The 24,821-nt window shown below is 47.9% G+C and overlaps 1 protein-coding gene and 1 long non-coding RNA gene across 9 annotated transcripts in view, besides 4 other annotated features; one reads left to right on the forward strand and one right to left on the reverse strand.

Moving 5' to 3' along the window:
• The window catches only part of TTC28-AS1 (TTC28 antisense RNA 1), an 83,304-nt gene that overhangs the window by 52,232 nt on the left and 6,251 nt on the right, over positions 1-24,821 (forward strand). Inside the window, exon 3 of the long non-coding RNA NR_026963.1 lies at positions 22,866-23,046. This is a non-coding gene — a long non-coding RNA (TTC28 antisense RNA 1). The remainder of the gene's footprint in view (positions 1-22,865; positions 23,047-24,821) is intronic.
• TTC28 (tetratricopeptide repeat domain 28) overlaps positions 6,407-24,821 on the reverse strand; it is a 701,827-nt gene continuing 683,412 nt past the window's right edge. For 5 of the 8 annotated variants that reach the window (NM_001145418.2, XM_011530018.4, XM_017028673.3 and 2 more), the window contains 7 exons: positions 24,528-24,652; positions 21,680-21,911; positions 20,980-21,056; positions 19,182-19,205; positions 18,271-18,400; positions 13,642-13,749; positions 6,407-12,244 (listed from right to left, as the gene is read on the reverse strand). In NM_001145418.2, coding sequence (NP_001138890.1) covers positions 10,614-12,244; positions 13,642-13,749; positions 18,271-18,400; positions 19,182-19,205; positions 20,980-21,056; positions 21,680-21,911; positions 24,528-24,652 — 2,327 coding nt within the window. In that variant the 3' untranslated portion in view covers positions 6,407-10,613. The remainder of the gene's footprint in view (positions 12,245-13,641; positions 13,750-18,270; positions 18,401-19,181; positions 19,206-20,979; positions 21,057-21,679; positions 21,912-24,527; positions 24,653-24,821) is intronic. The other 3 variants (NM_001393403.1, XM_047441214.1, NM_001393405.1) reach the window with 1 other exon arrangement.
• Positions 9,101-9,681: an enhancer, noted in NCBI's record as "H3K4me1 hESC enhancer chr22:28376696-28377276 (GRCh37/hg19 assembly coordinates)". NCBI's record gives its function as "activates a minimal SCP1, AML or CMV promoter by ChIP-STARR-seq in primed H9 embryonic stem cells {active_cell/tissue: H9 hESC(primed)}" and the evidence as "EXISTENCE:reporter gene assay evidence [ECO:0000049][PMID:30033119]".
• Positions 21,226-21,747: an enhancer, noted in NCBI's record as "H3K27ac-H3K4me1 hESC enhancer chr22:28388821-28389342 (GRCh37/hg19 assembly coordinates)". NCBI's record gives its function as "activates a minimal SCP1, AML or CMV promoter by ChIP-STARR-seq in naive H9 embryonic stem cells {active_cell/tissue: H9 hESC(naive)}" and the evidence as "EXISTENCE:reporter gene assay evidence [ECO:0000049][PMID:30033119]".
• Positions 21,748-22,267: an enhancer, noted in NCBI's record as "H3K27ac-H3K4me1 hESC enhancer chr22:28389343-28389862 (GRCh37/hg19 assembly coordinates)". NCBI's record gives its function as "activates a minimal SCP1, AML or CMV promoter by ChIP-STARR-seq in naive H9 embryonic stem cells {active_cell/tissue: H9 hESC(naive)}" and the evidence as "EXISTENCE:reporter gene assay evidence [ECO:0000049][PMID:30033119]".
• Positions 23,650-24,149: an enhancer, noted in NCBI's record as "H3K4me1 hESC enhancer chr22:28391245-28391744 (GRCh37/hg19 assembly coordinates)". NCBI's record gives its function as "activates a minimal SCP1, AML or CMV promoter by ChIP-STARR-seq in naive H9 embryonic stem cells {active_cell/tissue: H9 hESC(naive)}" and the evidence as "EXISTENCE:reporter gene assay evidence [ECO:0000049][PMID:30033119]".

Genomic DNA, 24,821 nt, shown 5'->3' on the forward strand with positions numbered 1-24,821 from the left:
GTGGGGTGGCCCCACCTTCTGGATTTGCTTCACTGTTCTCTTATGTTGTTGTGTAACTCATTAAAATAATCCCTGTATTTATAGAAAATTGGAAGTTATATATATATATGTTATATATATATATAACAGTTATATATATAAAAAACAGTTATATATATAACAGTTATATATATATATAAGCATATATATGTATGCTTACTTAGATCCAGATTAAACTTGTATTTCAAGACTACCTTAGGTGATGCTGTACCCTTTGTACTGCATTACAAAGAACTAAGAATTAACCACTAGATTTTGCACCATGGATGTAGCTATTGGTCTTATGTGGGGCCAAAAACCTGATTTGAGGGGGTAGTTCAAGAAAGAGGGGGAAGAGTGGAATTGGAGACACCAAGTATAGACCAGTTGGGAGCTTTGTACTGAAAGGAGAACAGAGAAATGGAGTGTTAACTGGATGGGGATATAGTACTGAGTTGGACAGCTATAGCGTATTTATGTGCTGATAGGAATGATTCATCTGAGAGGGAAAGCCTGACAATGCAGGAGAGAGAGAGGAGAATTATTAAAGCACTGTTCTGCAATAGGCAAGGGTGAGTGAGTGGGTCTGGGCTAGTGGACATGTTGGCCATGGAGAGGGGCCCAGAGGCTCTGCCTACAATAATAGATGGGATGGCAGAGCATAAGCTGGTAAGAAGGGACATGGGACTTCTCTATTTATTTCATGTCATACTGTCCAAGACTGTACAGTACTGTAGTGGCCTTCATTATAAGGCCCCAGACCTTCATGTTTTGTGTGCCCTTTTATGACCTATGTATAGCTCTTCTTCCTTTGCTGTCATTTCTGTCTCAGTTTGCCTGACTCTACAGCCTTCCTCCCTACCCCATTTCTAACTTGCTTCTATTTATGCCATAGATTCAAACATCCACAACTAAGGCCATTAAATTACAAAAGAAAAAAAAAAGACTGCCATGTAAGTTACCCTAACTTGGAAGTAGCTAATCCTGAAACTAGCATGGCCTGGAACTTGGCTACTTTGGAGACTTTTTTGGTCTCTCTCCTAGTGTCTTTGCATCTGTCCTGTCTTCCTCTTCGCTTCTCCTCTCTCTGCTTACGCATGGCTTTTGCGCCTCTGTCACTCTGGGCTGCACGTGGTCATGATGGCCCACTGACCTCAGTTTACATCACCAGCCTTTGGGTCTTGCTTCAGCTGCAAATACTGGATCTTGTCAAGATGTTCTGGATTGAATTCATGAGAAAAGGAATCTGGTTGGCCAGTTCACAGGCGTTTTTCTGACGTGTCCCGGGGTTGGCTGGGCCATGCAGTCTGTTTCCTGCTCTTGCCTAGTCAGCTGCAGCTGGGAGAGTAGAGTCCTCCAGTAGGAAACACAACTGCCTGGGTTCACAACTCCCTAGGCTGGGCCGAGGCAGTTCTGGGGAGGGGTGGTGAGTGGGTGGGTAGGGGCACAGTGGTTGTGTTTTCATTCATCAAGGTGTTTAAATTGTATCACGAAGACAATGGCATGTAAGTGAAGTGCATAAGCTGTATTTTATGGACTTGCTTTTCTCTTTTTTTTTTTTGGAAACAGGGTCTTGCTCTGTCACCCAGGCTGGGGTGTGGTGGCATGATCATGGCTCACTGCAGCCTTAACCTCCCAGGCTCTAGTGATCCTCCCACCTAAAAGCCTCCCGAGTAGCTGGGACTACAGGAACAGGCTACCATGCCTGGCTTATTTTTGTATTTTTTGTAGAGACAGGGTTTCACCATGTTGCCCAGGCTGGTCTCAAACTCCTGGGCTCAAGCAATTCCCTCGTTTTGGCCTCCCAAAGTGCTAAGATTAAGGTGTGAGCCATTGTGCTTGGCCTGTTTTATGGATTTTCTAACACCTGTTTTAACTTTCTGCTTATTTTTTATTGGCTGCATTCTACTTATCATAAACTCTGAGCAAATATTTGTGGAATGAATCACTTTTGAAATTACAGATAAGAACTGCCTTTTTCATTTTGACCACATGTTAATTTGATTTTACTTTTGCATTTTTGGTTTAGAATGAAAATGGCTATACTTCAAGAAGATCTGTATAGGAAAAAAAAATTAGACTGTTGGCAAAATGCTGCCAGGCAAATCAGAATTCAAATCCCTTTACCTGTCTTAATTAACTAAAAGTATAGACTTTCAGTTCTGCTCCTGGGATTTAAAGTTTAAAACTTTTTATTTTAAGTAAATATATTGACAATATTTATATACTTAAGAATATTATTATTCCCTGAAGCCCAAATGCATAATTGCTACAAATTTAATAAATATCTTGAGATTGGATGAAATTCATTTGAGAAGCAAAATGTTTCCTTAATGCCAATGTGTCCCTTTAATGTGTTTGGCTCCAGATGTTTGGCCTCATTTGCTGGAGTGGATGCAGCATTAGCCTGTCAGTTCCCTGCTGTTTGCCATTATTTAGGAGTATTAGAGGCTGTAAGCCTGCATGCTCATTGGGAAAGTTAAAGAAAAGCTTTAAATAGAGGAAGGTACCAAGCTGCGGCCCCTGTCCAGAATATCTGAGGTTAAAAGCAACACAACAAAGTGACTATAAATCAAGCATTAGAATCCTAAAAGTAGCTGCAATAGCTAAGAGCAGTCCTACTTGTAACCATCTTTCGTATTAGCTGTCAACTGAGATCCTGAAGCACAGAATCAAATCTTCATTAAGGGCCATTCTCTCCTTCAAAGGACGTGTCCAACAAAATATGTATTCTACAATGGAATATGCAAATTCTTTAGCAGTAACAGGGAATATAAATTGGATTTCCTGAAGTATTGGGGCCCACACTATTGTGCTCATAAATCCTTGCATTATGTCTCATTAACCTTTCATACTTAGATGTAGTCTGTAGATTATTGTATTATACTAAAGTAAAAGTCTACTTTAACACCAGTAGCAGGGTATAGCTCTTATACTGTGTCTTAAGAAATGGTAGAACCACTTGGAATTCCCTTTACATTGACATACAAATTTTATTTTCTTATAATGGGAAGATAATAGATTTTGCCTCTTGTATAATTATAGTGTAAACCATAGAACTCATCCACCCCAGTTCTTAGGGTCATAATGTTCTCCAGAATTTCATGCTTATTATAAGGTTTTCCGCATACGAATGTGTTTATAGGTATCCGTTTAGGGTCAGAGCTCTGGTCCCTTAGGAATACCAGTTGTGTGTATATTAGCAAAGACCAACACTCCCAAGTCACTAACACATAGATCCACTTTTCAGTTTGTGTTTTCTTAGTTTTCAAAATAACAGAGGTTTGCTGGGGGCGGTGGTGCATGCTTGAGGTCTCAGCTGATCTAGGAGGCTGAGGCAAGAGGATTGCTTGAGCCCAGGAGTTTGAGGTCAGCCTTGGCAACATAGCGAGAGCCCCATCTCTAAAAGTAAATAAATAATAAAATAAAATGCAGAGATTTAATGGCCAATATTTTCTTTAGGATTGTTATGTCTAGGTTCACACATGGAATGGTCCTGTTGTTTTCCTATACTCTTCACTGGTTTCAGAATTAAGGATAGCATCATGAAATGATTTGGACATCATTTTATATTTTCTAAACAGTTCATTTTGAAAAGAGAGAGATTAGCTGAAAAAAAACTCCTAAAAGTTTGGTGAAATACATGTAAAACCGCCTGGGCCTGTTATTTTTTGGAGAGTTGGGTAAGGGCAAAGAGTTGTGATTACCATTGTAGTTTAAGTTTCTTTTCCTTCTTACATCAATTTTGGCATTTTATCTTTTTTCAAAACTTTTAATGTCTTTTTCTAAAAGTTTGTGTAATCTAATTATTGTATAATTGCTAATAATATTTTTCACTTGTTCTTAAATTTATTATGAAGTAGTTCAGATATATAAACAGTTAGAGTTGTAAGTCACAGTGCTTTGCGGTTGAAGTCGCCCACATACCGCTCCTGACGCTAATTCCACCGCCTTGCCTCCCGCACGACAGTACCACTCCCGCGTGTGAGAGCCCTCATTCCCAGCATTTCTAGATACCTCCACTGCATGTATGCACCTGGACCCTGAAAGGCGTTATTTTGTATTTTCATATATAGTGGCATAAAATCGTTTGTAGCGTTTTCTTATTCTTTGATCTCAGCTGCGTCTTTAGATAGCCTATTTTCCTTCCCTTTCCCTCTCTGACTCACACACACGCACGCCCACACACATGCACACACACGATTACCATTCCCAGAAATCAGTGTATTTGTCTTTTTGGCAAACTTTGCCCTTCTTAACCTTCTATATTGTCTTCTTTTATTTCTGACCTTTCTTATTCCCTCTTTTATTTTCTCTCTGGGTATATTATTCTTTTTCTAACTTCTTGAATTGGTCACCTAGCTCAGTAAGTAGTTTTTGTTTTTTCCTAACATACCTCAGTACTCCAGTCTCACAGTACCAGTGTCCTTCTTCGTCGCTTGGGGCTCTTGCAGTTACATAAATATTACCCTTGAATATAAACATTTAGGGCTATAAATTTTTCTTTAATATGTTGTATTCCACTAGTTTTATGGAATTATTAATTTTCTTTATAACATAATGTATACATTTTCTGAAAATAGCATGTAAGCAGAAATGAAAATAATTGTAATTTTATTTTATTGGGTGAAAGTGATAATTGCAAATTATAGGCGAGTATAGAATAAATAAGAAACACCACTGTCCTTAATAAAAGAAAAACTCAGATATTCCTAAGGTAAATCTGGAGGCATCCACCTGTTTTGATATGTTGTATTTTCCCATTTCTATTTTGAGTTCTTCCATGGGTCATATGCTATGTGGTCCATTTTAAAATGTCTAAGTGATTGGCTACTTTTTAGTTATCCTCTTGTTATTGTTGCCTGACTTAATTGTATTGTGCTCTGATTATGTGGTAGTAATTCTTCGATATTTGCTGAGACTTGCTATGTGGCCTGTGCATGGTCTATTTTCATGAAATATTCCATGTGTGCAGGTGAAGACCGTGGATTCACTATCTGAGACTGGGTTCTCCTTAACCGCATTTCAGAAGCCTGTTCACATAATTGTTTAAACCTACCACATGCTTTCTAACTTTTCGTCTGCTGATCTATCAAAAGAGTAGTGGCTTAAAACTTCCCATGATGATGTTTTTTCAAACTTGTAGTTCTGCCAATTTTCTTCATGAATTTGGAGGCTATGTAGTTAGCTGCATACAAATTTAGAATTTTGCCTTTTTGCCAAGTTTATCATTAGGAAGTGGATCTTTGTTTTTATTAGTGCCCCTTACTTTAATATCTAGTTTGCCAGTCCTTTTACTATCAGCCATTTGGGGGGGCCCTTATGCTTTGGTGGTTTTCTTTTCAAATAGCATATAGCCTTTTAAAGAGCATGTGGCTTATTGCCATCATCTGTTAATCTACTGCTTAATTGTTTAGTTCACTTACATTTATAATGATTACTGATATTTTTCTTTTGTCTTATTTTTTAATTTTAATTTTTGTGGGAACATAGTAGATGTATATATTTATGGGGCACGTGAGATGTTTTGATCCAGGCGTGCAATTCGTAATAATCACATCATGGAGAATGGGGTGTCCATCCCCTCAAGCATTTATCCTTTGTGTTACAAACAATCCAATTATACTTTTAGTTATTTGAAAATGTACAATTAATTTCATCTTATATTTGTCCTGCCTTTTAGATGGTTTTTGTTGTTCCTTCCTTTTTCTATTCCTTTACATCAACCAGGGTTTTACAAAATGAATCTGTTTCTCTTCCACTGACTAGTTTGGAAGTATAACCCTCTACTTCAATGTGTGTGTGTGTAACTACATATATTTAACTTACTCTAAAAATAATATACAATTTGTTCCTAAACTTATAGCACTTTAACTCCCATGTTTTACATATTATTGTCTAGTATTTTTTGTTAGCCGAATGAAACATTACTCTTTTTATAAAGGCAATATTTGTGTTCATTTATGCATATTTACCCAATTCTTTACTATTCCTTCATGCTTCTCACACTTTTGCATATAGAATTATCTTCCTTCTTTCTGAAATACTACCTTGGAAGTTTTGTTAGATGATATAGGGATCTGGTGGTGATGAACTCTGTTTCTGTTTGTCGAAATACGTATTCAACTGTCGAACTTTCTGGCCCTCCAACTATGAGTAGCGTCTAAATTACCCCCCCACCGACAGTGCCCCCAGACCAGAGACGTGCGGGACAGCTCTGCTGCATGCATGGTCGTGCTCTCTGCTTGGCGGATGTGAGGCTATGGTGTAGAGGTGGGGTTAAAACTAGAGAGATACGTGCTCAGTAATGACACACGGCCCACTCCATGTACTGCAAAGAAACCTAGACAGTGTGGAAAGAGTAGAGAAAGTGATCCAGATACAGCACTTAAAACTGAGGGAACTCATGCTTTAATAGACACTGAAAATCACAAAGGAGGAAGGCCAAGTGCCTTAGCAATCTCAATAAAAATATGAAGTTCTTTTTACATGGTAAATTTCATAATATAAAAAGTTTAATGTCTGGAAATGGTGTAATTTACAAAAAAAGTCCACGTAGGCCAAAGATGGCTAACACTGCATATAAGGAACGTGAATGCCAGTGGGAAGGTGTCTGAGGAGGGGCAGGGCCACAGGTGTCCTGACAGGGAACATCTTTGAAGGATCTGGCACAAACAAGGGCCCAGTTCACAAACCACAGGTACACTCATTTTAGATAGAACAGCAGAATAGGTGATGAAAATTATACAGTTTTCACTTGTTGCCTACTTACTGAAAGCAAACCAGATTATTGCATGGCATTTTTCCAGCCTGAACTGAAATTATCAAGGCTACAGTTCTTCTTGTGGGTCTGCAAATGTGTGTGGCTGGGAGGTGGCAGAATCGGCACGGGCCAGGGACCGGCTGCAGTGATCATATGCTGGAGCGTCACTGGGACAGAGAGAGCAGGATGAGGACAGCGTGGGTGACACCTTTGTCTCCTGCTAAAACCCAGCAAGTTTCAGTGTGGACCGTGAATTTTTAAAAAATGGAATGGAGGTGAAAACTTTCATTTTGTGTTGCACATCAGTGTGGATCAAAATGTAAGTTTTAGTAGCAATTTTTCTCTTGATATTTTGACTTAATTAAAAAAATCAAATTAGTTGAGTCATTTACTGGAGAGAATTAAGAAAGCTTTGACTCCCTTGCTCTGTGGTCCTGCTGAGGTTTCTAAGAGAGGGGAGTTGTACGGCTTATAGTCATTGTATTTACATCTGATGGAGTAGCAGAGGGTGGGGCATGCCAGTTTCCTGAGCTAAAAGGAAATATATGCAATGCTTTCTGCAAATGGTAAGGAAAAAATTGTTTTGTAAATATTACATCCATGGACTCCTCCCAAGTGGGACAAAGAGCCAAGGGCTATGCAGGAGGCATTTGCTTCCATCCACGTGGCCCTCACATACCCTGGGCTCCCCGGACGCCAGTCAGTCTATCCACTACCTGACTTGCTTTTCCTAGACTGGAGAAACAAAACGTTATTCCATTTTCTGTCATCCATACCAGGAGTCAGCAAACTTCTTAAAAGGCCAGGTATTGGCTGGGCGCAGTGGCTCACCTGTAATCCCAGCAGTTTGGGAGGCCAAGGCGGGCGGATCCCCTGAGGTCAGGAGTTCGAGACCAGCCTGGCCAACATGGTGAAACCCCATCTCTATTAAAAATACAAAAATTAGCAAGGCATGGTAGTGGGTGCCTGTAGTCCCAGCTACTTAGAGGCTGAGGCAGGGAGAATTGCTTGAACCCAGGAGGAAGAGGTTGCAGTGAGCCAAAATCGCACCAGTGCACTCTATCCTGGGTGACAGAGCGAGACTCTGTCTCAAAAAAAAAAAAAAAGGCCAGGTATTGAATATTTTATGTGGTGTGGGCCAAAGGCAAAATCAAAAATATGATGTAATTACTTATATAACCCTTTAAAAAGGTAACTTAGCTCATGGCTGTGAAAAACCAGACCGCTGACCAGTCTTAGCCTGTGGGTCATAGTTGCCAACCCCTGATCTACACAAAGAAATCTTGGTGAATTATACAATTTCCTTTAATTCTAAGTGCATACTTTTTCCAGTGTAGCCTGAAACATTCACTGTGATTTTATGATTTTACATCCATTTTACTCATACAAGAACACCAAGACTGACATACACGTAAAGTGGCGGTGACTTTACAGTGGCCTCTAGACTGTTCTATCATTTTATCACTTTTGTTTTCCCTTCCTTGAAACTTATATTTAAGACAGAATAAAACCACATAAACCATTGGCTCTTCAGTATGAAACCTAAAACAACGATGTACATGGGACTAAAACCAGGTTAGAGTCCATGAGTAACTCCTAGCTGGCTCAATAACCACAGGAAGCGGCAGGGTGGTGGGGGTGTTTGCTAGAGAGGGGCAAATAGGGCCGCAGCCTTCCCCTCACAGAAAGAGAGCACAGACCCCAGAGCTTTACTCCAGGGATCCTTGGCACTTGGGAAAGAAGGAGGCTGAGAGATTTGCTAAGAGAGGGACAGCCTAACCATCTGCATATGGATTTAGAAACTTGAGGTTTACTTTTCATTGTTAAGAACCTGATTTTGCTATCTAATGCACAGTGCTATAAATTTGGTCTTCACTTGCTACACTGGTACTTTTATTACCATTTTTTCCCCTACTAACATAAAGAAACCCTCATAATTGCTGGCTTCTTTATAAAGTACTTCGCTTTCAGTGTTGGGATCAGGGCTAGAATAAGACATGCTTATTGTTGGCTTTTGTCAACATGGCTGTTGGTTAAATTAAAAACCCCTAGGATGGAGCTCAGGAGAACACAGATTGGATAAATATTATCCTTTCTTCTTTTCAGAGGAGTACACTGAGGAACAGGTGAGATTGTCAGTGTATGCGCAGAAGCTGAGATCCCACCCATGGTTAAAACCCCCACCTGGGGATCCTGAGGTCAGTGCCCCCTGCCAGGCCCCTCAGGTCTGCTCCATGTGCTGCTGGTGGCCCAGGCCAGGTGGCCGCCCACCTTCATGAGGAACCCTGTAGTGAGGTGGGTAGGATTTTAATTTTAGAATTACCTAAAAGATACTTACTTATCTAAATTCTCCAACTAAACTCAGTACTAATACGACTTTCAGCATTTCCTTTCTTTATAAAATAAATTAATGGTTACCCCTAACTAGATGATTCCCTTGTCTTGCCTCAAGCTGGCAACAATTTAAGTTACCGTCAGAGCTGTAGGAGAAGTCCACCTCCACTTTTTAAGATACATCTCTCTCTTCCCGGTTGGCCATAATCCAGGCATACGTCCCAGCAAAAGGCCCTGTTGCTTAGGATCTGTACGTGTGGCTTCAGCAGTGGGGGAGGGGCCAGTCCTTCAGACAGCAGGAGCACAGGAGGCTGGCCAGGGCCAAGGTGAGGGCCTGGGGGCAGCTCACAGAGGCAGGTGCTGGGATTGTGGGGACCTGGCAAAGGATTTAGATATAAGACAACTGAGGGACCTGGAGTTGGGAAAAGGGAATAAAATTCAGCAGCTAATAAAAGGGAACAGGAGCCTGGAAGGCGGGATTCTGGTTAAATCTAGTTAGCCATGGAAATTTTTTTTTTTTTTTTTTTTTTTTTTTTTTTTTTTTTGCTTATAAGGAAACGGAGTCATTTCAACCTTTCCTTCCAAACTTGATAATTACTTATTGATGACTATTCAAAATTTGACATTTTAAAAAACTTTTTGAGCTTTTAAAAATAATAGCTATAAATGCAAAGTACTATTGATAATAAAACCAAGTTGTTTATCCATATACAAAAAAGGTCAATAATGTTTTAAAAGCACAAAGTTGCATTTTAAATCACAATTGCATAGTTCTAAAATGCCTGGATAAGAGTTACATAATTTTTTTTTTAAGAAAATTCAAGTTTGGTTGACAGCGGGACCCAAAAGACATTTGCAGAGCAGAGTTCAGAATGGAAGCGCTGTTTCAATGTGAATTATTGCATTGTTGCTGAGATATTACACTATCATGAGACCAAAATTGCTACAATTTAATTACAAATCATTGGCATTTTAAAAACCATTTTTCTGTTTTTGGCTAATATAACACTTTCCTGTAGAATTCAACTGAAATTTCATATATCCCACCCCCAACCAGCAACCGAAAGCCTTAGAAAAAGCTCTATTTGTATTTCTGTGTATAAAAGGTACTGCATATATACCTCTTAGCAAAATATGTGCTCCCTTTCCTCTCCCCACCCCAGAACCATGATCATTTTTGTACAAAATCCTGGTGAAGAATCATATCAAAGATGAGAAGCAGGGAGTTCAAAGGTAAACAAACATTTGGTGAAGTGTGTAGGAAATTCCATGAGCCTCCTGTACCAGCCCCACAGAAGTCCTGGCTTTTGGTGAATGTGGCCCAGAAAAGCCACCAGTGTGTGTGGCAGCCTTTGGACGTGGTGGTGCCCCTCGCCTGCAGAGCACAGCATCATGAGGGTGCTGGTGGCTGTGGGGGGACTGCACTCAGGGAAGGGCTGAAGCAAACGCCAGGCCCCCATCTGCAGGCTGCTCAGAGTCAGTGGGTATAAAAGATGCTTTAGCATTTGGAAGAAGGGAAAAATCTTCCTGGAGACAGGAACTTGTAGCCATTTCCAGAAGGAAGCCTCAAAGGGCGCGCGGGGGCTGTGGCGGGAGGGCCGGCGGGCAGCGGCAGTGAGCCCAGCGAGGTGGTCTCGGTGCGCCAGTGTCCGTTGGGAGGGGCTTTCGGTGGAGCTCCGTCATGCTGCTGCAGGGACAGCTCCTTCAGTTCAAGCTTATCCACTCCCTCCTCCTTCTTATTGTGCCGTGGTGACAAATTCAACAGACTGAGGACATCCCTTTTGGAAGTCATCGTGCCAGGAGCCCCCCGGAAGATCTTCATTGGCCCTGTGGAATGCTGGGGTGTGCTCTGCCAGAACATCTTCAGGTTATGGACAGCCTGCACCTTTTCATCAATGGCTGCCATTTTCAGTTTGTCTATGTCGGGAGCGTCTGCTGGACTTGAGCGAGCAGATCCAGCTGAGGAGTAGGAGAGAGCTGGGGAGGGTGCACTGCCAGCAGGAGACTGGTGGCCGGAGCTTGGGGACATGTTCCTTGGTGATTTGGAAATGTGAGCGCTGTAAGGAGAGCTGGGGTACTTCAGTTTAAAGAGAGGCTGGTCCAGCTGGGAAGTCTGTGAGTCGCAGCCGGGCGATGGCCGGCCACTGTGCTGGCTCGGGCTGTCTTTGATGGACATCTCTGAGGTGGTGGGGCTGCTATATCCGGAACTCACCTTGGGCAGGGAGGAGCTCCTGGCTGGGGGCTTTGGTTTAACAGTGACTGGTGATGGCTGACTCTTCTGATGGGAGAGAACAGGCCTGCTGAACGCACTGGTTTCTGACGCTCTGAAGACAGCAGTGCTGCTGGGCGCCTGAACGCCGTCTTCAGGGTTATTACTCTTGCTCACCTGGCCGCCGCTCCTCTGAAGACGCTCCACCGCAATGAGATGACTCTGTGTCTCCTCCAGAATTTTCTGGGCTAACTCTTGTGGATCCAGTTTTGGGTTGCTTTCTTCTTGGGATTTCACGGTACTGTCCGTTTCTGTGCTAGACTGGTCTGATTCTCCTGTATCTGAGCTTGCTAGTTTTCCCACCTTTTGGAAGGGTGAGTTGGGGCTGGGAATCAGAGTCATTTTCACTGGAGAATTTGGAGTGCTGATGCTCCCTTTGGAGCTCACCGAGACTCTCATGCCTCCGGCTGTCCCAGGTTGGGGTTGTTTGTGGTCTGGTGAGAAGCATGTGTTTCGGTTTTCTTGGTAGGTCGCCAAGGGCTCGTTACTGATGATAGAAAACCCTTCATATTCTTCTTCATCTTTGTTGCCTGCAGGGCGGGTCTGGGGAGGCAGCTGGCTCCTAGGCAGGGTGGATCTCTGCAGGTAAGCGTTCTTGGACCGGTCATGGTCCTGCCGTCCTCCGGGGCCTCCACCCTCTGATCCACCCTCGGGTTTGGAGACAAAGCTCATTGAGGAGGCAATGGAGCTCAGACTGTACACAGAGATGGCATCTGAGGCGATGCTGTCCGCACCGGTGGGAGAGAAGGGGGGTTGCTGGTAACCCAAGGGCAGGGCGTTGGAAACAGACTGAGCAGAAGCAAGAGACTCGAGGGAGGAGGAGCTGTCAAGGCTGAGGCGCTTGGGTAGCTCAGTAGAATCTAAGCACAAAACACAAGGGCCCCAAGGACAGTTAGAATTCTATATGGTTTTGATTTTTCTTTCAAAATTTACGACATCTTTATATGCATAGAAGCTAGCAAAGAATTATGCAAGAGCTACTCATATTAATCTTACAATCCTCAAAAACATGGTCCTGTTAGAAAAAGTAAATCTAACATAGGGACAAAATCATTCTAGGAGAGCTCACAGCCACACCCACCCCAGACCCACCATGGCCCATCTCCACTCTGCTCCCTGTCACATGCGGGGTCAGGGTAAGCAGCATGACCCTGTATCCGCCTTCCTCTGAGCAGGGCTGGCCGTGCTCCTGGGGTGGGGGCCCTTTGCTCAGCTGGGGCATGTGAGCAGTCTGTGACATCTCCTGCCCTCCTTTCCAGCTCCATCCCAGCAAGTCCCTCTGGCATCACCGACACTCGCTCTCCACACTGCCTCTCCCCCATTCTCTCAACTTAGTCCATTCAGGTTTTAGTCCCTATCATTCTTATAAAGGTCACCAATGAGGTCCACACTGCCAAATCCAGAGTCCATTGCTCAGTTCTGCAGTGAGAGAGACACACCCTGCCCTCACCACCCCCTCCTCCACAGGCCCCTCCTCATCCTTGTCACTCTGAACCCTGGAATGCCCACAGGACACAATCCTCTTCCCCTCCGACCCGCATGCACCCCGGGTGATGCCATGCATGTTTCTGTCTCCATGCCAACCTCTCCCCTGAACTCCAAACTCACGTACCAGCTGCCTGCATGGATGCCTAATGGATATCCCCAAACCGAATGTGTCCCAGATGGAACTCAAGCCCATTCCTCCTGCCACTTTCCTGACCTCAGCAGAGGGCAATCCCATTTTGGCAGTTCTTCCAAATAAAAAACAGGATACCACTTTGACCCATCTGTCATGACCTTCAGCAGACTCCGTTGGTTCCACCTGCAAACCATAACCACCTTCCAAGCCAGCATTTGCTCTTCCCACTGTAGCCAGCTTGGCCCTTAAGAACATCAGTCGGGCTGGGTGTGTCCCCAGGGCCTGGAAATCTCCCAGGCCCACATGACCTGAGTGTCCGCTCCGGTCAGGCCCTGTGGCCCCACAGAGGACAGGCACACCTGTCGCCGCGTTCCCGTCTGCTCTGCCACCACCCTCTCACTTCCAGTCCCTTGCCCTGCTTGAGCACGTGCCAGCACCTCATACATTGCAAGTTCCATGAGAGCAGGGAGTTTTTGTTTCCTGCTCCTGAATAGTCCCTAACTGTTCCCTAACAAACATACACAAAAAATGTTGATTCACTTTTCTTCTGCTTCCCAAAATGTATGTGCTGGTGTCGGCCCCCAGGGAGAGCATGGCAGGCCCTGGTGGAGAACTGGTCTGAGGGCAGGCTCTTACCAAACAGAGACAGCAGGGACTGGAGCGCGAAGTGCACAGTCCGTCGATTAGCTTGCTTCCCGGTTTTCAGGATTACTTCCTCCTGACCAACTTCACAGAGATCAAAACCTAGAGGAACAAAGAATATAAGCATCTGCTTCCTTCGGGAAGATTCCAGATCTTGAACATGAGCGCTATAGGGCTCCTTGTGCAACTTCATGGAATGCCTGCAAGGCCCTTCAGCAAGCATTTGGGCCTGGGGCTTCCCCATGTCTGCACAGAGGTTGGTCATGTGGCAGAGGGGTCGGGCTGCCCCACCCAGAACATCCACTCTACGCAGCCCCCATTTGGCGTGTGTGTGGCTCTCACTGCCTGGCTCTCCTCTGTCCCTTCACGGAAAGCACTATGGACCAGAACTCAGTAAGGCTCACTCACATGTTTTCTTTTCCATTTTTTTTTCACAGAAGTACAGTCTATATAAAGACTGTCCAGGACAAAAACTGGCCACTCCATTCAGCATTGACAGCAGTATTTAAAGCTGGTGCATGGTGAGGTGAAGTTTCTCAAGGGCAAAGACAATGCCTTCATGCATGTTCAGTGTCTGCCCCCGTGGGCTTTGAAATGATCGCTGACAATGGGGGATCTGCAGTGACTTCTCTGCCTCTGCCAAAGCCCAGGGGTGCTGCTCCCTAATTCTAAGGATTCTAATGAGACTCAGAGCAGGTGTAACACAGGGCATGGAGCTTCCTGAGCAAGAGGCTGGCTAACAAACTGTGGACGTGGTACTTAGACACATTAAGAGACATTACAGGGACACCTGCAAGTATGTCTCCCTGGGGAGAAGCCAAGTGCAGATGCTATGGCCACAGATGATATGGTTTGGCTCTGTGTCCCCACTCAAATCTCATCTCAAGTTGTAATCCCTGGATGTCGAGGGAGGGACCTGGTGGGAGGTGATTGGATTGGTTCGCATGATAGTGAGGGAGTTCTCACGAGATCTGGTTGTTTGATAAGTGTCTGGCATTTCTCCTGTGCTGTCTCTCCTGCCACCTTGTGAAGAAGGTGCCTGCTTCTCCTTCGCCTTCCGCCATGATTGTAAGTTTCCTGAGGCCTCCCTAGCAATGCAGAACTGTGAGTCAATTAAACTTCCTTTCTTTATAAATTACCCAGTCTCGAATGGTATCTTTATACCAATGTAAGAACAGACTAATACAGACAGGGACCACAAAGCAAGAATTTAGGGCCTGAAGAGTCTTCAGCATTGAAAATCTTCACTCAGAATCCCTGGTCCCTGCATTGAGAGCACTGGGTAGATCACTGAACTCCCCTGACAACACTGCAAAGTGCTGGGTACCTACGATGCCACACCCTCTCCTCTGACCTCACAGTGTTAAAGTAAGGGGGCCCATAGTACACGATGTTACTGTCAGCATGCTATGTGTCGTGACTCAGCAACAGCACATTCACCAAAGGAGAAACCCCTCCGTCTCTCTATCTAGGCAGCCAGCCTTTTGACTTGTATTCGGGGATCTGGAGACTATCATTCCCTTAGGAATTAGGTTCACTAGAGGAGCATTCTGGTCACTATGGGACATTTTCCTCTGAATTTGAAAGTAAACAGCCCCTGAAAGCAACAGGAAGACATAATCAGAGAACTCAGCATTAAAAACCAATAATGAATAGTATCAATGTAATGCTTCCATTAGAAACCTCTACTTTTACCAAAATGATTTAAATGGGGTTGCTCAGAACTGAGTCCTCTCCATCTCTGACAGCCCATGCTGGGTTGTGAAGGTGTGTGCTTATTGCTGAGGACTGGAAAGGGGGCATTTCTTGGAGCCTTGGAGCCCTGGGAGCGAGCCAGCCACCTCTCTCCAGATGACAGGCCTACCGGACACCACTCTCCTCCCCGAGCTGTATGTCAAAAGGCCATAAAGCTTGCAAATGCATGCAGACCGACTCGCCCCTTGAGTATCAGTGGCTCTTGGAAAATACAGAGAATAACTGGAACATCAACTAAAGTCCCCCATAATCCCAACACCAGAGACAGCCTGTGTTAAGAGTTTTTGGGTTTCCTTCTGTACTATTCTTGATGTATCTGGCAAAGGGACCTCAAAAGCAGGGAGTGTGCAGGGGAGGAAGCCTGGCTCCACCACCCCCACACCAAAGGGAGCCTCAGGCTCCATGAGGAAGAGAGCTTTTCCTTTATAAAGCAAGGTCTTGGCCAGGTGCGGTGGCTCACGCCTATAATCCCAACACTTTGGGAGGCTGAGGCAGGCAGATCACTTGAGCTCAGGAGCTGGAGAACAGCCTGGGTAACATGGCGAACCCCTGTGTCTACAAAAAATACAAAAATTAGCTGGGCGTGGGTGGTGCATGCCTCAAGTCCCAGCTACTTGGGAGGTGGAGATTGCAGTGAGCTGAGCTCGCGCCACTGCATTCCAGCACCCCAGCCTGGGTAATAGAGTAAGACCCTGTCTCCAAAAAAAAAAAGGTTGTGGTTGTGGCTTCCTCTTGCTGACTCACTCGTGGCAGTGCCCCCCAAGGCTTGCCCTATGGCTTCTCACAGAAGTGACAAGAGAAGCATCCCGGATGGGAACCCAGCCCTTCTCAGTCTAGCGTCCATCTGCTGCTGCCTACATAGAAATTTACTATGTTTACACCAGGAAAATGATGCTTTAAACCCACAGAAGAAAAGCATGTAGGCCAGGAGCAGTGGCTCACACCTGAATCCCAGCACTTTGGGAGGCTGTGTGGGAGGGTTGCTTGAACCCAGGAGTTTAAAAAGACCATCTTGGGCAAAATGGTGAAACCCAATCTCTACAAAAAAAGTTAAAAAAAAATAAAAAACCAAGTAATGCAACCTGTAAAGGATGCCAAGCTTCTAATCCAAGGGGATTCAGAACCCCTGTGAGGCACTGTAGCTCCCCACTTTACCTTCACAATACACGACGTGTCTGAAAACACAAGGAGCCAGCCTTGAGCTGAGGTGGTCGGGGAAGGTCACCCACAAAACAGGTTAGACAGTGGGACCCCGAGCGAGAAGAAGCTTGCTTTTTTTTTTTTTTTTTTTTTGAGACAGAGCTTTTTGCTCTTGTCGCCCAGGCTGGAGTACAGTGGCGCGATCTCGGCTCACAGCAACCTCCGCCTCCTGGGTTCAAATGATTCTCCTGCCTCAGCCTCCTGAGTAGCTGGGACTACAGGCATGCGCCTCCATGCCTGGCTAATTTTTGTATTTTTAGTAGAGACGGGGTTTCTCCACGTTGGTCAGGCTGGTCTCAAACTCCCAACCTCAGGTGATCCACCCACCTCAGCCTCCCAAAGTGCTGGGATTACAGGAGTGAGCCACCGCACCCGGCAGGAAAGAAGCATTTTTAAGGATTCTCTGTCGGGCCATGTCTGACAGCTCATCCATGTAACAGTGAGGTCAGACAGTGCCATCTTCTCAAGGGTGTCCACTTCTCTCAGTTTAAAATCCAAAGGCCTTCCCTGGCATCACAGCCCACAGATCTGCCCTGCCCCCTACCCCGCCCCGACCCCTCCGTGGCTGTTCCCTCGGCCTGGCACTTTCTCCTGCAAACATCCCAGTCTCTGTGGGCCTGTCCTGGCCCTGCTCCCACCCATCTGCTTCTGCCTGCCATGGTGCTCCCTGGCTTCCTAAGGCGTCCCTTAGACACTGTATTAGGTTTGTTCGTGTTCTCCCAGTAGAGTGCAAGCTCTAGGATGGTAGGAATTTAGTCTTTTGCTCACTGCTGCATCTCCAGTGCCTGGAACATTGCCTGACACATAACAGGTGTTCAAAAGAAACCTGTGGAGTGAATGGTTCCCGAGCCAGTCACTGGGCCCCTAAGTGGGGCAGGAGGGGAGTGGCTCACAGCCTCTTGTGTTCTATCAACAGATGCACCATTACAGGTACACAGCAATATGTCAGGAGTCACACCTGCACGTTACAAATGGTAAAAAAGGGAAATCGAGTGTCCTGCACTGACTGAGGCCCCTGCTATGTGCAGTCCTAGGTACCCATGGTCTCTCAGAGGTGGTTTCAATAGTACTGTTTTCCTGCCAGTTTTGAGTACCCGTTGACAGAGGACAACACTGAAACCATTATCATCTTATGACTCTAATTTTAGTTTTCTTTAGCTCCTAATAACACTTGACCTCCAATAATACTAGAGTCTAGCAGGTTCATGTTAAGGTAATGGGCACAAATGACAGAGATGAAATCACAGTGCAGAGGAAATGGCACAAAGCCATTTGTACCATTTGGGAATCCTGCTAAACCACTGGAATCTAAGTTAATTTTTTTTTGGAAGAAAAAGAGAGATCCTCTGCCTCAGTCCTCCTGAGTAACTGAGACTACAGGCATGCACCACCATGCCCGGCTAATTTTTTTTAATTTTTGTAGAGATGGGGTCTCCCTGTGTTGCCCAGGCTGGACTCAAACACCTGGCTTCAAGTGTTCCTCCCCCTCAGCCTCCCAAAGTGCTAGGATTACATGCGTGAGCCACTGTACCCAGCCTGAGTTAACTGTTTTAAGATAATATTTTAAGAAGACACTGAGATACTTTGCCCAACAGAAACCAGGAGGAAAAACAGAGATTTAAAAGATGGAATTCAAGAACCCATTTAAGTCAAGGATTCTCTGCCTACCTAGAGCTGCCAGGAACTCGTGGCATCCCGGGAGCCGCCACAGCTGGACGCTGATGGAGACCTGAATGGGAGCTGATGCCAAGTCCTGCTCCTTCTCGCCAGCCTGGAGCTGAACCAGCACCTGGTGGAGCTGAGGAAGGGGGGACAGCGTGAGCACCCTGTGTCTCCTTCCCCTCCAGCCCACCTCAAGACTCGACCCATTATTCTTATGTCACCTGTCACTGGCATCGCTAATGACCCTCTCATGAGTGTAGCATTTGAGATTCTTTTTCAGGTGCATTCATACCTACTGTCCTGCTGTCCTCTCTGTGGGAAGCTCATGGGGCATTGGGGCAAGAGGCTGTGTGGCCTCCTGGGGCCGGGGCCGGGTTCTGCTTCCAGCCTTGTGTCTTCCCTCAGGCGTGGGAGAGCCTCACAGGAGAGGCCATGGAGAGTAGAAGGGGTGAGTTAGGGGACCGGCCACCTCCCACTTTCTTAAGTCATCTTTAGGACCTTGAGGTGGATGGCGAAGTGGAACCCGGTTACATCTTAGAGCCTCACAGCTCGAGGAATTACCCACTCAAGTGTCCATTTCCTTTCAGATTTCAGGGTCTGTGGCCTCTCCTCAGGGGTCTGTGTGTGGGTTCACAGAGTGACACTCACTGAAAGCTGGTTCTGCCCCTGCTGTCTGGTGGACCTCAGGAGGTCAAATCAAGGACGCAAGAAGGGCGGAGCAGGAAGAGGGGAGGCAGAGCAGAGAAGGGGACGGGCCGCCAGTCCAGCAGCAGTGCGCACCCGCGGGGGCGCCGCAGCCCGTGTGGCTCCGTTTGACAGCACGTGCACCCCGAGCTCAGAGCCTGCCCAGGGGAACTCGGGGGTGGGTGGGTTGAGGGGCTCACCTGACAACAGTTGCTACTTAAAGTAGTACTCACCATTCCAACCATATTTTTAACAGCCTTCGGCCAGCAGATTATAAGAAAAAGAAAGAAAGAGAGAAAGAAGAGAGTTTAGACTCAAGCACAGGCTGTTATGCAACATGAGCTGATCACTGTTTAGGAAGCGCCACACCAGGCCCGCGGCTCTGACTGGGAGGGGAGAGGAGCAAGAGTCAGCAGGGGACACACAGGAGAACGGACAGCCACACCCAGGCCAGCCGCGTGCGGATCCAGGGGCTCAGGGGCAGCATCAGCCAGGCCTCCCTTCCCAGCCAGTAGAGGCTCGGGAGGGAAAGAGCACAGCGGGCGTTTGTAGCCAGCTCAGGAAACCAAAGTCCCTGGTTCCTGAGTGAGCCAGGAAAGGTCCACCAGCTGCCACCACTGGGGGCAGCCTCGGGACATGTCCCTAGGGCCCAACAGCGTATCAGGCAGAAAGTCCCTGTGCTCCCATCAAAAGCAAGAAATTAAGCAACTGGCTTTTTGGCCTCTCAGCACAGCCTTGCAAATGGAGTATAATTTTGGCTTTCAGATTTTGTAGAACACAGACCTCTAGACCGCCTGGGTTCAGGATGCTTTAATATGCAGTGTTCTGGAAGTGTCTTCCTGATGCTATTCAACGAGCAGGCGTTAATACACTTATTACAAAATGAGCAGGGACTCAGCCAAGGGGACAGGTCACTGTTGGTTCTAAGTTCCAAATCCAGGTGGAAACAGCCCTAGGTAGCACTCAGTGTGTTTCAGAGGCTAATAGTAGATGGAGCAGCTTTATTTCTCCATAGAAATATTTCCACTTCAGTGAAATTTGCTGGCAAATATCTCTAATAACAACATATATTACTTTTTCAAATTGTTACACTCCAAAATGGCCAGAAAAGCAACTCTGTGCTCTTCAAGGGCTGCTCCAGCCTCCAGAAGTGCTCCCACAGCTGTCCCCCCAGGGGCTTGGTCCAGACCCTCACTGGCCAGAACGCAGTGGTGCAGCATGGGTACTGAGAAGCTCCCAGGCCAAGCTGCAAAGGACCTACATGATGCTAAGAACTGGAACCCGCCGAACTCCTGAACTAGATCTGTATTTTCCTAAAAGAAAGCACATCTGCTAAGCAGTGTCTTGCATGAGAGTTGCTCCTGGGTTCACTGCTTTGCCTTGGTGACTATCTTGTTTCAGGCATGGTTAAGTACTTTGATCAAAGAAGCGTGGGAACACCTGCAGCCATCCTGGTGGGCTGGCCCCACACCTGGTGGCTTGGGGAGGGTGGCTGTAACACTCGTCAATCAGCTGAAAAAGTGGGTGGTGAGGAGGACAAGGTTCAGGAGACCACCGAGTGGAGATTTCAGGAAATGCCCTGAGACCACAGGTGACAGGGGCCCCATAAGCATCCTCTGAAGGCCCTGGATGCTCAGCACATATGAGAACACTATGCAAACCTGCCCCTCTGTGCCCCTCTGAGTCAAGCACCCAGCTTCACCCTGGGGTTGGCCGCACAGCTTCATCAGGGCCACAGCTGCCCATGACAATGCCAATAGCAGCCAGTGTCTGCTGGTACGACCTCCCATCATGCCGGTAAGGGGCAGTGCCGCTGGCACGGATGCCTTGGCATCGCAGATGGAAACAGCAGGTAAACAGCACTTGCCAGGCAGGGCTATTCTCTTACTCCCGGCCCTCACCTTCTCCTTTGAATCACAAAGGCGGTGAGACTGCATTCACTTACAGGTTCCTATTTAGGGCCAAGTTGCTCTGCCTTTCCAAATCAGCATGGGCCTCAGGCCCTGGCTCAGCCCTCCAGGCTCGACTTACCCGGCTGATGAGCTGCTCGCCCGTCTCGGAGGCAGTGATGAGTTTGCAAAGGGCTTGGAGGGCAGGATTGGGCAGACCTAAACCAAGAAAAAAGGGTAGAAGTTATTCAGAAGGGCCTCTGCACCCAAAAGCCTGCCACCTTCCCAGGGGAAAGAACCCTAAATCCTTGGCATCGGTGGCATTTTTCAGAAGCTCAGCACAGCTAGACATGTGTGTCTGTGTGTGCCTTGGAAAAGGACAGCGTGGTCTCCCAGGAAGGTGGGTGGAAGTGGGTTGAGTCCTGACCCTGCCGCAGTCCTCTAGGCGTGGCCACACTCCCAGGACCCAGGCAGCACCACCCCTAGTCAAGCACCCAGCTTCACCCTGGGGTTGGCCGCACAGCTTCATCGGGGCCACAGCTGCTGATGACAATGGCAGTAGTGGCCAGTGTCTGCCGGCACGACCTCCCATCATCCCGGGAAGGGGCAGCGCCAGTGGGGCGCAGATGCCTGCCATCACAGATGGAAACAGCAGGTAAATGGCACTTGTTTCCTCCAGGTGTGGAGATGCTTGTATCTGGGACCCCCTGCCATTTCTCAGGACACCCTCCTGCTCCTAGCTGGGAGATCCAGCATCCTCATGAATGCGGGGCCCAAGGCCACCAACTGTTCCACCTGCTGTCAGCCAGGCCTGTTGCCCCAGCCCTACACCCACAGCTCACCCAGCAGGGACTGGAGTGTGCTGCTGCACTGCTGGAGCCGGTCGCCCGGGTCGGAGGTTGGGAAGAAGACAGCCGCTGGCAGGCCACTGGTTGGGGGGTCCAGCCGGAAGCCCACAGCGGTGAGGAGGGCCTGCCAGCCAGGGATGCCGCCCACTTTGTTCTCCACACTCTGCTGGGATGTGTACATGGCATTGCGCTGCCCATTCTGGATGCGCTGCAGGGATTTCTCCACCTGAGGGGGAATTGGGGGTGAGTCAGAGACCCAGGCCAGCCCTGGTTTCCATCCGCATGGCTTTGAGGGTACACAAAGCCCCAGGGTGAAGCCAGGCTGACTGCTGCAACCCCACATAGCCCACGTGGCCAGGCCTGAGGATGTGACACTGGGGCACTGACTAGGCATCTTGCAAGGGAGGGCACAGAAGGGAAGGATTTTACCATCAGAGCCCTCGAGGGCTGGTACAACAGAAGGATTCTGTCCCTCCCCTAAACCAACCCCTTCCACACTCTCCGCAGACAGTAAAGCAATGTGTCTGAACACACAGGTCAGGGGCCTGCCTCAACCATGTAATGGCTCCTGCCCACTAGGATAAACCCTCAGGCCCTTCAGGAACCCCCTCACTGCCCACAGCCCAGCCCCATCATGGGGTCTTGGCTGGCAATGCCCTTCTTCCCCATTCTTCCCACTCAGCCTTGGTCCCTCCGCACTGGCTTCTGGAGCCTATACCTCCCTCCACCGGGAAGTGCCCTCATGTCATCCAGGGCCTGAACAGGTGCCTGGCACTTCTACGCTGAAGTCACCCAAGTCACTGCTGCATGAACTACATGAGTGAGTGTTTTAACAGTAGTACAGGGCCTCAAGGCTAAGTGGCGGCAGCTGAGAGGCGTGGTGGCTCACGCCTGTAATCCTAACACTTTGGGAGGCCAAGACGGGCAGATCACTTGAGTCCAGGAGTTCAAGACAAGCCAGAGCAACATAGCGAGACCCCAGCTCTACACCCCACCCCCTAAAAACACACCCAAAAACAGTAGTGCAAACAGCTTTCATCAGGCCTCCCTGGGCCTCTCTCTAGTGGAAACCCCTGTCCACTCTGGGATGTTGGGTGCCCTATGAGGCACATGTGCCCTCACCGGAGGGGCATGAGTGGTCCAAGATGTCACCTGAGGTTTTTTTTTTTTTTTTTTACAGTAAACACTGGGATGCCGGAGCTCAGGCATCCCAGACAGGAGGAAGTGTGTACTCACACCAGCCAGGAGGAAACAAGCCTGCCTGGGAGGACAGACGATCAGCCCTGGCTGTCCCTCAGGAGCGGGGGGCCTCCAAGGCACACTGCCCACTGGGTCAAGGAGTATCCAGGAGGAGTTAGAAGGTAGGGGCTGGGGAACTTGACCCATGGCCCCCACACCCACCCCAGAAGATAATACCAAGGAAAAAGAGGAAACCCTTAAGTGGGCCTGAGGGGCCTCAAGGCCATGTAGGGGCAGCTGAGAGGCCTGGCCTGGGAGGAGGTGACTAATGGGTAGAGAAGGCAGTTCCATTTCCCCAAAAAAGCAGTGTGTAGTGGCAGCAAGGACGGAGGGACTTCGGGGGTGACGGGACCCGAGAACTGAAAGGCTCCAGACAGTTTCCAGATACAGGGTAACAGTGGAGAGGGCCTCCCAGCACCCTGGGTGTTGGCCTCCTCGAGCCAACTGGGGGCACGCTGGGGGCTTGCTGGTCACAGTGTTCACATACTGACTACTTTCAGGCCTGAGGAGACCCTAAGCTTCAGAAATATGTGTGACTCTATCCTCAGAAGTGCATGTAGAGCTACCATGCCCAGGCCCAGGTGCCAGGGTTCTAGAGGGCCCTGTTCAGGCCCAACCCACGGGCAAGAAGTTTGCATGGCCCAGGAGACATGCTCACTCCCAGGCTGCATCGACGCTGCCCCCGGTCCTCCATCTTAACCATGGATGGAGCTAGGCTGTGCAGCAACCAGCCTGCAAGGAGGCCCTGGGGTCCGTGGCAGATTTGGAAGGAGCTTGGCTGTGGCATAACTGTTCACCCACGCTGCATGGGCCCCAGGCTGGCACTGGGCTAGGAAGATGTGGGGTGGGCCAGGGCTGGTCTTTCTGGCACAGCACTCTAAATGATTTGAAACGGCCTTCCAGGTTGTTCCCGAGGTAGAAGGATGAAACAAGTTTGATGTCACTGCTTCTTGACTCAGTTGATAACTTTACACATGTAGCTGTGGGCCCTCCATTTGTGCTCTCACCTGGGCTCCACAGATGTTGGGGCAGGCTGATCAAGGGCATGATCAGACTTGGACTCAGGGGCAGACTGGTATCATCTGGTGGTAAAATAGGACTCTGCGCCAAGTACTCACATTTTCTCAAATCCTCACGATAACCTTGAACTGTTCAACTTTTATCACCCCTTCCAGATGAGAACACTGAGGCTCGGAGAGCCAAAGTGACTTGCCCAAAGCCACATGGCCTGGAAGCTGCTAGGTTGTGGGTCACTGTCGTCGGCTGCCCTTCCCCCAGGGTCCTGGCGAGTACTGCTACAGCCACCTGTATGGCACCACACACCATGCCCACCCCTCAGGCCAGCGGGCTCATCCCGGGGACGTCTGCAGAAGCACCCTGGGGATACTGCCCACTTTGTGCATCACGCTTTGCTGGGACATGGGTCTCCCAGCAGGCTTATCCCAGGGACGTCTGTGGAAGCCGGTCAGTGCCATCCTGGACACGGCCCCAATCACGGTGTCCTCTCCAACTGCTCACATCCCCGTGTAGGGAAACCCTTGCCTTCCCCTTCTCTCACAGCACTGCCAGCTCTCGTTGAGTGCAGGGTGCCCGACCCCCTTACCAGGTGCAGCAGCACTCGCAGGGCGTCCCGCGCACGCTCCGGGTGCTGCAGGATCTCTGTGAGGGCCTGGCCGATGAGTGATGAGGGGCTGTTCAGCTTAACGTCACTCCCGATGAGCATGAACCCTGCAGAAAGCAAAGGAGGGCACCTCAGCAGGGCAGCTGGAGACCCCCAGCCCCACCCCGGCTTCCAGGGCTCACTTACGCCTCGAGGTTAACCCAGCAGAAAGAGCAGGGCCTGGCAGGGGAGCAGCTCACAGGCTGGCCTGGGGCATCTGACTCACTGGATGGTGAT

The sequence above is a fragment of the Homo sapiens genome, chromosome 22 (assembly GCF_000001405.40).
Source record: "Homo sapiens chromosome 22, GRCh38.p14 Primary Assembly".
Lineage (NCBI taxonomy): Eukaryota > Metazoa > Chordata > Mammalia > Primates > Hominidae > Homo > Homo sapiens.